The sequence below is a fragment of the Homo sapiens genome, chromosome 17 (genome assembly GCF_000001405.40).
Source record: "Homo sapiens chromosome 17, GRCh38.p14 Primary Assembly".
NCBI lineage: Eukaryota > Metazoa > Chordata > Mammalia > Primates > Hominidae > Homo > Homo sapiens.
The window spans coordinates 23,047,392-23,060,071 of NC_000017.11; the positions used below are offsets into that span (position 1 = coordinate 23,047,392).

At 41.1% G+C, this 12,680-nt stretch overlaps 1 annotated feature.

Moving 5' to 3' along the window:
- Positions 1-12,680: part of a centromere (Linear centromere model derived predominantly from reads generated in PMID: 17803354. This region does not represent an actual centromere sequence, as long-range ordering of repeats and unmapped WGS contigs is not provided by the model. For details of model production, see http://arxiv.org/abs/1307.0035.) that runs on past both edges of the window.

Below are 12,680 nucleotides of genomic sequence, written 5' to 3' on the forward strand. Positions count from 1 at the left end.
AAAATAATTTGTGATGATTGAGTTTAACACACAGAGCTGAACATTCCTTTGGATGGAGAAGGTTTGAAACACACTTTCTGTAGAATCTGCGAGTGGATATTTGGACCTCTCTGAGGATTTCGTTGGAAAGGGGATAACTGCACCTAACTAAACGGAAGCATTCTCACAAAATTCTTTGTGATGTTTGCATTCAAATCCCAGAGTTGAACCTTCCTTTGATAGTTCAGCTTTGAAACACTCTTTTTGTAGGTTCTGCAGGTGGATATTTGGACCACTCTTTGGCCTTCATTCGAAACGGGTACATCTTCAAATAAAATCTAGACAGAAGCCTTCTCAGAAACTTCTCTGTGACGATTGCATTCAACTCAAAGCGTTGGACCCTCCTATGGATAGAGCAGTTTTGAATCTCTGTTTTTGTGGAATCTGCAAGTGGATGTGTGGTCCTCTTTGAAGATGTCTTTGGAAACGGGAATATCTTCACATAAAAACTAAACAGAAGCATTCTCAGAAACTTCTCTGTGATGTTTGTGTTCAACTCACAGAGTTTCACGTTGCTTTTCATAGAGCAGATGAGAAACATGCTTTTCGTAGGGTCTGCAAGTGGACATTTGGAGAGATTTCCGGCCTGTGGTGGAAAACGAATTATCGTCACGTAAAAACTAGAGAGAAGCATTGTCAGAAACTTGTTTGTGATGACTGCATTCAACTCACAGAGTTGAAGGTTCCTTTTCAAAGAGCAGTTTCCAAACACTCTTTCTGTGGCATCTGCAAGTGGATGTTTGGGCCTCTTTGAAGATTTCGTTGGAAACGGGATAATCTTCACAGAAAAGCTAAACAGAAGCATTCTCAGAAACTTCTTTGTGACGTTTGCTTTCAACTCACAGAGTTGAACTTTCCTTTTGAGAGAGAAGCTTTGAAACACTCTTTTTCTAGAATCTGCAAGTGGAGATTTGGAGGGCTTTGAGGCCTGAGGTGGAAAAGGAATTATCTTCCCGTAAGAACTAGATAGATGCATTCTCAGAAACTACTTTGTGACGATTGCATTCAAGTCACAGAGGTGAACATTCCCTTTCAGAGAGCACTTTGGAAACCCTCGTTGTGTAGAATCTGCAAGTGGAGATATGGACCGCTTTGAGGCCTATGGTAGTAAAGGAAACAGCTTCATATAAAAACTAGACAGCAGCATTCTCAGAAAACTCTTTGTGACGACTGAGTTTAACTCACAGGGCTGAACATTCCTTTGGATGGAGCAGTTTGGAAACACACTATCTGTAGGATCTGCAAGCGGATACTTGGGCCTCTCTGAGGATTTCGTTGGAAACGGAATAAACCGCACAGAACTAAACAGAAGCATTCTCAGAACCTTCTTCGTGATGTTTGCATTCAACCCACAGTGTTGAACCTTTCTTTGATAGTTCAGGTTTGAAACACTCTTTTTGTAGAAACTGCAGGTGGATAACTGCACTTCTTTGAGGCCTATCGTAGTAAAGGAAATAACTTCCTATAAAAACAAGACAGAAGCTTTCTCAGAAAATTCTCTGGGATGATTGAGTTGAACTCACAGAGCAGTACTTTTCCTTGGGATGGAGTAGTTTCGAAACACACTTTCTGTAGAATCTGCAAGTGGATATTTGGACCTGTCTGAGGAATTCGTTGCAAACGGGATAATTTCAGCTAAGTAAACAGAAGCAGTCTCAGAATCTTCTTGTGATGTTTGCATTCAAATCCCAGAATTGAACCTTCCTTTGAAAGTTCAGGTTGGAAACACTCTTTTTGCAGGATCTACAAGTGGATATTCGGACCACTCTGTGGACTTCGTTCGAAACGGGTATATCTTCACATAACATCTAGACAGAAGCATTCTCAGAAACTTTTCTGTGATGACTGCATTCAACTCACAGAGTTGAACACTCCTTTTGAGAGCGCAGTTTTGAAACTCTCTTTCTCTGGAATCTGCAAGGGGACATGCAGACCTCTTCGAAAGTTTCGTTGGAAACGGAATCATCTTCACATAAAAATTACACAGAAGCATTCTCAGGAACTCCTTGGTGATGTTTGTATTCAACTTCCAGACTTGAACTTTCCTTCGGAAAGAGCAGCTATGAAACACTCTTTTTCTAGAAACTGCAAGTGGACATTGGGAGGGCTGTGAGGTTTGTGGTGGAAAAGGAAATATCTCCACGTAAATACTAGATAGAAGCCTTCTCAGAAACTACTTTGTGATGACTGCATTCACCTCACGGAGTGGAGCATTCCTATTGACAGAGCAGTTTGGAAACACTCTTCTTGTAGAATCGGCTAGTGGAGAGTTGGAGCGCTTTGAGGCCTATGGTAGTAAAGGGAAGAGCTTCACATAAAATCTAGACAGAAGCATTCTCAGAAAATACTTTGTGATGATTGAGTTTAACACACAGAGCTGAACATTCCTTTGGATGGAGAAGGTTTGAAACACACTTTCTGTAGAATCTGCGAGTGGATATTTGGACCTCTCTGAGGATTTCGTTGGAAACGGGATAACTGCACCTAACTAAACGGAAGCATTCTCACAAAATTCTTTGTGATGTTTGCATTCAAATCCCAGAGTTGAACCTTCCTTTGATAGTTCAGCTTTGAAACACTCTTTTTGTAGGATCTGCAAGTGGATATTTGGACCACTCTTTGGCCTTCGTTCGAAACGGGTACATCTTCAAATAAAATCTAGACAGAAGCCTTCTCAGAAACTTCTCTGTGACGATTGCATTCAACTCCAAGCGTTGAACCCTCCTATGGATAGAGCAGTTTTGAATCTCTCTTTTTGTGGAATCTGCAAGTGGATATGTGGTCCTCTTTGAAGATGTCTTTGGAAACGGGAATATCTTCACATAAAAACTAAACAGAAGCATTCTCAGAAACTTCTCTGTGATGTTTGTGTTCAACTCACAGAGTTTCACGTTGCTTTTCATAGAGCAGATGAGAAACATGCTTTTCGTAGGGTCTGCAAGTGGACATTTGGAGAGATTTCAGGCCTGTGGTGGAAAACGAATTATCGTCACGTAAAAACTAGAGAGAAGCATTGTCAGAAACTTGTTTGTGATGACTGCATTCAACTCACAGAGTTGAAGGTTCCTTTTCAAACAGCAGTTTCCAAACACTCTTTCTGTGGCATCTGCAAGTGGATGTTTGGGCCTCTTTGAAGATTTCGTTGGAAACGGGATAATCTTCACAGAAAAGCTAAACAGAAGCATTCTCAGAAACTTCTTTGTGATGTTTGCTTTCAACTCACAGAGTTGAACTTTCCTTTTGAGAGAGAAGCTTTGAAACACTCTTTTTCTAGAATCTGCAAGTGGATATTTGGAGGGCTTTGAGGCCTGAGGTGGAAAAGGAATTATCTTCCCGTAAGAACTAGATAGATGCATTCTCAGAAACTACTTTGTGACGATTGCATTCAAGTCACAGAGGTGAACATTCCCTTTCAGAGAGCACTTTGGAAACTCTCGTTGTGTAGAATCTGCAAGTGGAGATATGGACCGCTTTGAGGCCTATGGTAGTAAAGGAAACAGCTTCATATAAAAACTAGACAGCAGCATTCTCAGAAAACTCTTTGTGACGACTGAGTTTAACTCACAGGGCTGAACATTCCTTTGGATGGAGCAGTTTGGAAACACACTATCTGTAGGATCTGCAAGCGGATACTTGGGCCTCCCTGAGGATTTCGTTGGAAACGGGATAAACCGCACAGAACTAAACAGAAGCATTCTCAGAACCTTCTTCGTGACGTTTGCATTCAACCCACAGTGTTGAACCTTTCTTTGATAGTTCAGGTTTGAAACACTCTTTTTGTAGAAACTGCAAGTGGATAACTGCACTTCTTTGAGGCCTATCGTAGTAAAGGAAATAACTTCCTATAAAAACAAGACAGAAGCTTTCTCAGAAAATTCTCTGGGATGATTGACTTGAACTCACAGAGCAGTACTTTCCTTGGGATGGAGTAGTTTCGAAACACACTTTCTGTAGAATCTGCAAGTGGATATTTGGACCTGTCTGAGGAATTCGTTGCAAACGGGATAATTTCAGCTAAGTAAACAGAAGCAGTCTCAGAATCTTCTTGTGATGGTTGCATTCAAATCCCAGAATTGAACCTTCCTTTGAAAGTTCAGGTTGGAAACACTCTTTTTGCAGTCTCTACAAGTGGATATTCGGACCACTCTGTGGACTTCGTTCGAAACGGGTATACCTTCACATAACATCTAGACAGAAGCATTCTCAGAAACTTTTCTGTGATGACTGCATTCAACTCACAGAGTGGAACACTCCTTTTGAGAGCGCAGTTTTGAAACTCTCTTTCTCTAGAATCTGCAAGGGGACATGCAGACCTCTTTGAAGGTTTCGTTGGAAACGGAATCATCTTCACATAAAAATTACACAGAAGCATTCTCAGGAACTCCTTGGTGATGTTTGTATTCAACTTCCAGAGTTGAACTTTCCTTCGGAAAGAGCAGCTATGAAACACTCTTTTTCTAGAATCTGCAAGTGGACATTGGGAGAGCTGTGAGGTTTGTGGTGGAAAAGGAAATATCTCCACATAAATACTAGATAGAAGCCTTCTCAGAAACTACTTTGTGATGATTGCATTCACCTCACGGAGTTGAGCATTCCTATTGACAGAGCAGTTTGGAAACACTCTTGTTGTAGAATAGGCTAGTGGAGATTTGGAGCGCTTTGAGGCCTATGGTAGTAAAGGGAAGAGCTTCACATAAAATCTAGACAGAAGCATTCTCAGAAAATACTTTGTGATGATTGAGTTTAACACACAGAGCTGAACATTCCTTTGGATGGAGAAGGTTTGAACCACACTTTCTGTAGAATCTGCGAGTGGATATTGGGACCTCTCTGAGGATTTCGTTGGAAACGGGATAACTGCACCTAACTAAACGGAAGCATTCTCACAAAATTCTTTGTGATATTTGCATTCAAATCCCAGAGTTGAACCTTCCTTTGATAGTTCAGCTTTGGAACACTCTTTTTGTAGGATCTGCAGGTGGATATTTGGACCACTCTTTGGCCTTCGTTCAAAACGGGTACATCTTCAAATAAAATCTAGACAGAAGCCTTCTCAGAAACTTCTCTGGGATGATTGCATTCAACTCAAAGCGTTGAACCCTCCTATGGATAGAGCAGTTTTGAATCTCTCTTTTTGTGGAATCTGCAAGTGGATATGTGGTCCTCTTTGAAGTTGTCTTTGGAAACGGGAATATCTTCTTATAAAAACTAAACAGAAGCATTCTCAGAAACTTCTCTGTGATGTTTGTGTTCAACTCACAGAGTTTCACGTTGCTTTTCATAGAGCAGATGAGAAACATGCTTTTCGTAGGGTCTGCAAGTGGACATTTGGAGAACTTTCAGGCCTGTGGTGGAAAACGAATTATCGTCACGTAAAAACTAGAGAGAAAGCATTGTCAGAAACTTGTTTGTGATGACTGCATTCAACTCACAGAGTTGAAGGTTCCTTTTCAAACAGCAGTTTCCAAACACTCTTTCTGTGGCATCTGCAAGTGGATGTTTGGGCCTCTTTGAAGATTTCGTTGGAAACGGGATAATCTTCACAGAAAAGCTAAACAGAAAGCATTCTCAGAAACTTCTTTGTGATGTTTGCTTTCAACTCACAGAGTTGAACTTTCCTTTTGAGAGAGAAGCTTTGAAACACTCTTTTTCTAGAATCTGCAAGTGGATATTTGGAGGGCTTTGAGGCCTGTGGTGGAAAAGGAATTATCTTCCCGTAAGAACTAGATAGATGCATTCTCAGAAACTACTTTGTGACGATTGCATTCAAGTCACAGAGGTGAACATTCCCTTTCACAGAGCACTTTGGAAACTCTCGTTGTGTAGAATCTGCAAGTGGAGATATGGACCGCTTTGAGGCCTATGGTAGTAAAGGAAACAGCTTCATATAAAAACTAGACAGCAGCATTCTCAGAAAACTCTTTGTGACGACTGAGTTTAACTCACAGGGCTGAACATTCCTTTGGATGGATCAGTTTGGAAACACACTATCTGTAGGATCTGCAAGCGGATACTTGGGCCTCCCTGAGGATTTCGTTGGAAACGGGATAAACCGCACAGAACTAAACAGAAGCATTCTCAGAACCTTCTTCGTGATGTTTGCATTCAACCCACAGTGTTGAACCTTTCTTTGATAGTTCAGGTTTGAAACACTCTTTTTGTAGAAACTGCAAGTGGATAACTGCACTTCTTTGAGGCCTATCGTAGTAAAGGAAATAACTTCCTATAAAAACAAGACAGAAGCTTTCTCAGAAAATTCTCTGGGATGATTGAGTTGAACTCACAGAGCAGTACTTTCCTTGGGATGGAGTAGTTTCGAAACACACTTTCTGTAGAATCTGCAAGTGGATATTTGGACCTGTCTGAGGAATTCGTTGCAAACGGGATAATTTCAGCTAAGTAAACAGAAGCAGTCTCAGAATCTTCTTGTGATGTTTGCATTCAAATCCCAGAATTGAACCTTCCTTTGAAAGTTCAGGTTGGAAACACTCTTTTTGCAGGATCTACAAGTGGATATTGGGACCACTCTGTGAACTTCGTTCGAAACGGGTATATCTTCACATAACATCTAGACAGAAGCATTCTCAGAAACTTTTCTGTGATGACTGCATTCAACTCACAGAGTTGAACACTCCTTTTGAGAGCGCAGTTTTGAAACTCTCTTTCTCTGGAATCTGCAAGGGGACATGCAGACCTCTTTGAAGGTTTCGTTGGAAACGGAATCATCTTCACATAAAAATTACACAGAAGCATCCTCAGGAACTCCTTGGTGATGTTTGTATTCAACTTCCAGAGTTGAACTTTCCTTCGGAAAGAGCAGCTATGAAACACTCTTTTTCTAGAAACTGCAAGTGGACATTGGGAGGGCTGTGAGGTTTGTGGTGGAAAAGGAAATATCTCCACATAAATACTAGATAGAAGCCTTCTCAGAAACTACTTTGTGATGATTGCATTCACCTCACGGAGTGGAGCATTCCTATTGACAGAGCAGTTTGGAAACACTCTTCTTGTAGAATCGGCTAGTGGAGATTTGGAGCGCTTTGAGGCCTATGGTAGTAAAGGGAAGAGCTTCACATAAAATCTAGACAGAAGCATTCTCAGAAAATACTTTGTGATGATTGAGTTTAACACACAGAGCTGAACATTCCTTTGGATGGAGAAGGTTTGAAACACACTTTCTGTAGAATCTGCGAGTGGATATTTGGACCTCTCTGAGGATTTCGTTGGAAACCGGATAACTGCACCTAACTAAACGGAAGCATTCTCACAAAATTCTTTGTGATGTTTGCATTCAAATCCCAGAGTTGAACCTTCCTTTGATAGTTCAGCTTTGAAACACTCTTTTTGTAGGATCTGCAAGTGGATACTTGGACCACTCTTTGGCCTTCGTTCGAAACGGGTACATCTTCAAATAAAATCTAGACAGAAGCCTTCTCAGGAACTTCTCTGTGATGATTGCATTCAACTCAAAGAGTTGAACCCTCCTATGGATAGAGCAGTTTTGAATCTCTCTTTTTGTGGAATCTGCAAGTGGATATGTGGTCCTCTTTGAAGATGTCTTTGGAAACGGGAATATCTTCACATAAAAACTAAACAGAAGCATTCTCAGAAACTTCTCTGTGATGTTTGTGTTCAACTCACAGAGTTTCACGTTGCTTTTCATAGAGCAGATGAGAAACATGCTTTTCGTAGGGTCTGCAAGTGGACATTTGGAGAGCTTTCAGGCCTGTGGTGGAAAACGAATTATCGTCACGTAAAAACTAGAGAGAAGCATTGTCAGAAACTTGTTTGTGATGACTGCATTCAACTCACAGAGTTGAAGGTTCCTTTTCAAACAGCAGTTTCCAAACACTCTTTCTGTGGCATCTGCAAGTGGATGTTTGGGCCTCTTTGAAGATTTCGTTGGAAACGGGATAATCTTCACAGAAAAGCTAAACAGCAGCATTCTCAGAAACTTCTTTGTGATGTTTGCTTTCAACTCACAGAGTTGAACTTTCCTTTTGAGAGAGAAGCTTTGAAACACTCTTTTTCTAGAATCTGCAAGTGGATATTTGGAGGGCTTTGAGGCCTGAGGTGGAAAAGGAATTATCTTCCCGTAAGAACTAGATAGATGCATTCTCAGAAACTACTTTGTGACGATTGCATTCAAGTCACAGAGGTGAACATTCCCTTTCAGAGAGCACTTTGGAAACTCTCGTTGTGTAGAATCTGCAAGTGGAGATATGGACCGCTTTGAGGCCTATGGTAGTAAAGGAAACAGCTTCATATAAAAGCTAGACAGCAGCATTCTCAGAAAACTCTTTGTGACGACTGAGTTTAACTCACAGGGCTGAACATTCCTTTGGATGGAGCAGTTTGGAAACACACTATCTGTAGGATCTGCAAGCGGATACTTGGGCCTCCCTGAGGATTTCGTTGGAAACGGGATAAACCGCCCAGAACTAAACAGAAGCATTCTCAGAACCTTCTTCGTGATGTTTGCATTCAACCCACAGTGTTGAACCTTTCTTTGATAGTTCAGGTTTGAAACACTGTTTTTATAGAAACTGCAAGTGGATAACTGCACTTCTTTGAGGCCTATCGTAGTAAAGGAAATAACTTCCTATAAAAACAAGACAGAAGCTTTCTCAGAAAATTCTCTGCGATGATTGAGTTGAACTCACAGAGCAGTACTTTCCTTGGGATGGAATAGTATCGAAACACACTTTCTGTAGAATCTGCAAGTGGATATTTGGACCTGTCTGAGGAATTCGTTGCAAACGGGATAATTTCAGATAAGTAAACAGAAGCAGTCTCAGAATCTTCTTGTGATGTTTGCATTCAAATCCCAGAATTGAACCTTCCTTTGAAAGTTCAGGTTGGAAACACTCTTTTTGCAGGATCTACAAGTGGATATTCGGACCACTCTGTGGACTTCGTTCGAAACGGGTATATCTTCACATAACATCTAGACAGAAGCATTCTCAGAAACTTTTCTGTGATGACTGCATTCAACTCACAGAGTTGAACACTCCTTTTGAGAGCGCAGTTTTGAAACTCTCTTTCTCTGGAATCTGCAAGGGGACATGCAGACCTCTTTGAAGGTTTCGTTGGAAACGGAATCATCTTCACATAAAAATTACACAGAAGCATCCTCAGGAACTCCTTGGTGATGTTTGTATTCAACTTCCAGAGCTGAACTTTCCTTCGGAAAGAGCAGCTATGAAACACTCTTTTTCTAGAATCTGCAAGTGGACATTGGGAGGGCTGTGAGGTTTGTGGTGGAAAAGGAAATATCTCCACATAAATACTAGATAGAAGCCTTCTCAGAAACTCCTTTGTGATGATTGCATTCACCTCACGGAGTGGAGCATTCCTATTGACAGAGCAGTTTGGAAACACTCTTGTTGTAGAATCTGCTAGTGGAGATTTGGAGCGCTTTGAGGCCTATGGTAGTAAGGGGAAGAGCTTCACATAAAATCTAGACAGAAGCATTCTCAGAAAATACTTTGTGATGATTGAGTTTAACACACAGAGCTGAACATTCCTTTGGATGGAGAAGGTTTGAAACACACTTTCTGTAGAATCTGCGAGTGGATATTTGGACCTCTCTGAGGATTTCGTTGGAAACGGGATAACTGCACCTAACTAAACGGAAGCATTCTCACAAAATTCTTTGTGATGTTTGCATTCAAATCCCAGAGTTGACCCTTCCTTTGATAGTTCAGCTTTGAAACACTCTTTTTGTAGGATCTGCAAGTGGATATTTGGACCACTCTTTGGCCTTCGTTCGAAACGGGTACATCTTCAAATAAAATCTAGACAGAAGCCTTCTCAGAAACTTCTCTGTGATGATTGCATTCAACTCAAGGCGTTGAACCCTCCTATGGATAGGGCAGTTTTGAATCTCTCTTTTTGTGGAATCTGCAAGTGGATATGTGGTCCTCTTTGAAGATGTCTTTGGAAACGGGAATATCTTCACATAAAAACTAAACAGAAGCATTCTCAGAAACTTCTCTGTGATGTTTGTGTTCAACTCACAGAGTTTCACGTTGCTTTTCATAGAGCAGGTGAGAAACATGCTTTTCGTAGGGTCTGCAAGTGGACATTTGGAGAGCTTTCAGGCCTGTGGTGGAAAACGAATTATCGTCACGTAAAAACTAGAGAGAAGCATTGTCAGAAACTTGTTTGTGATGACTGCATTCAACTCACAGAGTTGAAGGTTCCTTTTCAAACAGCAGTTTCCAAACACTCTTTCTGTGGCATCTGCAAGTGGATGTTTGGGCCTCTTTGAAGATTTCGTTGGAAACGGGATAATCTTCACAGAAAAGCTAAACAGAAGCATTCTCAGAAACTTCTTTGTGATGTTTGCTTTCAAATCACAGAGTTGAACTTTCCTTTTGAGAGAGAAGCTTTGAAACACTCTTTTTCTAGAATCTGCAAGTGGATATTTGGAGGGCTTTGAGGCCTGTGGTGGAAAAGGAATTATCTTCCCGTAAGAACTAGATAGATGCATTCTCAGAAACTACTTTGTGACGATTGCATTCAAGTCACAGAGGTGAACATTCCCTTTCAGAGAGCACTTTGGAAACTCTCGTTGTGTAGAATCTGCAAGTGGAGATATGGACCGCTTTGAGGCCTATGGTAGTAAAGGAAACAGCTTCATATAAAAACTAGACAGCAGCATTCTCAGAAAACTCTTTGTGACGACTGAGTTAAACTCACAGGGCTGAACATTCCTTTGGATGGAGCAGTTTGGAAACACACTATCTGTAGGATCTGCAAGCGGATACTTGGGCCTCCCTGAGGATTTCGTGGGAAACGGGATAAACCGCACAGAACTAAACAGAAGCATTCTCAGAACCTTCTTCGTGATGTTTGCATTCAACCCACAGTGTTGAACCTTTCTTTGATAGTTCAGGTTTGAAACACTCTTTCTGTAGAAACTGCAAGTGGATAACTGCACTTCTTTGAGGCCTATCGTAGTAAAGGAAATAACTTCCTATAAAAACAAGACAGAAGCTTTCTCAGAAAATTCTCTGGGATGATTGACTTGAACTCACAGAGCAGTACTTTCCTTGGGATGGAGCAGTTTCGAAACACACTTTCTGTAGAATCTGCAAGTGGATATTTGGACCTGTCTGAGGAATTCGTTGCAACCGGCATAATTTCAGCTAAGTAAACAGAAGCAGTCTCAGAATCTTCTTCTGATGTTTGCATTCAAATCCCAGAATTGAAACTTCCTTTGAAAGTTCAGGTTGGAAACACTCTTTTTGCAGGATCTACAAGTGGATATTCGGACCACTCTGTGGACTTCGTTCGAAACGGGTATATCTTCACATAACATCTAGACAGAAGCATTCTCAGAAACTTTTCTGTGATGACTGCATTCAACTCACAGAGTTGAACACTCCTTTTGAGAGCGCAGTTTGGAAACTCTCTTTCTCTGGAATCTGCAAGGAGACATGCAGATCCTCTTTGAAGGTTTCGTTGGAAACGGAATCATCTTCACATAAAAATTACACAGAAGCATCCTCAGGAACTCCTTGGTGATGTTTGTATTCAACTTCCAGAGTTGAACTTTCCTTCGGAAAGAGCAGCTATGAAACACTCTTTTTCTAGAATCTGCAAGTGGACATTGGGAGGGCTGTGAGGTTTGTGGTGGAAAAGGAAATATCTCCACATAAATACTAGATAGAAGCCTTCTCAGAAACTACTTTGTGATGATTGCATTCACCTCACGGAGTGGAGCATTCCTATTGACAGAGCAGTTTGGAAACACTCTTCTCGTAGAATCGGCTAGTGGAGATTTGGAGCGCTTTGAGGCCTATGGTAGTAAAGGGAAGAGCTTCACATACAATCTAGACAGAAGCATTCTCAGAAAATACTTTGTGATGATTGAGTTTAACACACAGAGCTGAACATTCCTTTGGATGGAGAAGGTTTGAAACACACTTTCTGTAGAATCTGCGAGTGGATATTTGGACCTCTCTGAGGATTTCGTTGGAAACGGGATAACTGCACCTAACTAAACGGAAGCATTCTCACAAAATTCTTTGTGATGTTTGCATTCAAATCCCAGAGTTGATCCTTCCTTTGATAGTTCAGCTTTGAAACACTCTTTTTGTAGGATCTGCAAGTGGATATTTGGACCACTCTTTGGCCTTCGTTCGAAACGGGTACATATTCAAATAAAATCTAGACAGAAGCCTTCTCAGAACCTTCTCTGTGACGATTGCATTCAACTCAAAGCGTTGGAGCCTCCTATGGATAGAGCAGTTTTGAATCTCTCTTTTTGTGGAATCTGCAAGTGGATGTGTGGTCCTCTTTGAAGATGTCTTTGGAAAGGGGAATATCTTCACATAAAAACTAAACAGAAGCATTCTCAGAAACTTCTCTGTGATGTTTGTGTTCAACTCACAGAGTTTCACATTGCTTTTCATAGAGCAGATGAGAAACATGCTTTTCGTAGGGTCTGCAAGTGGACATTTGGAGAGCTTTCAGGCCTGTGGTGGAAAACGAATTATCGTCACGTAAAAACTAGAGGGAAGCATTGTCAGAAACTTCTTTGTGATGACTGCATTCAACTCACAGAGTTGAAGGTTCCTTTTCAAACAGCAGTTTCCAAACACTCTTTCTGTGGCATCTGCAATTGGATGTTT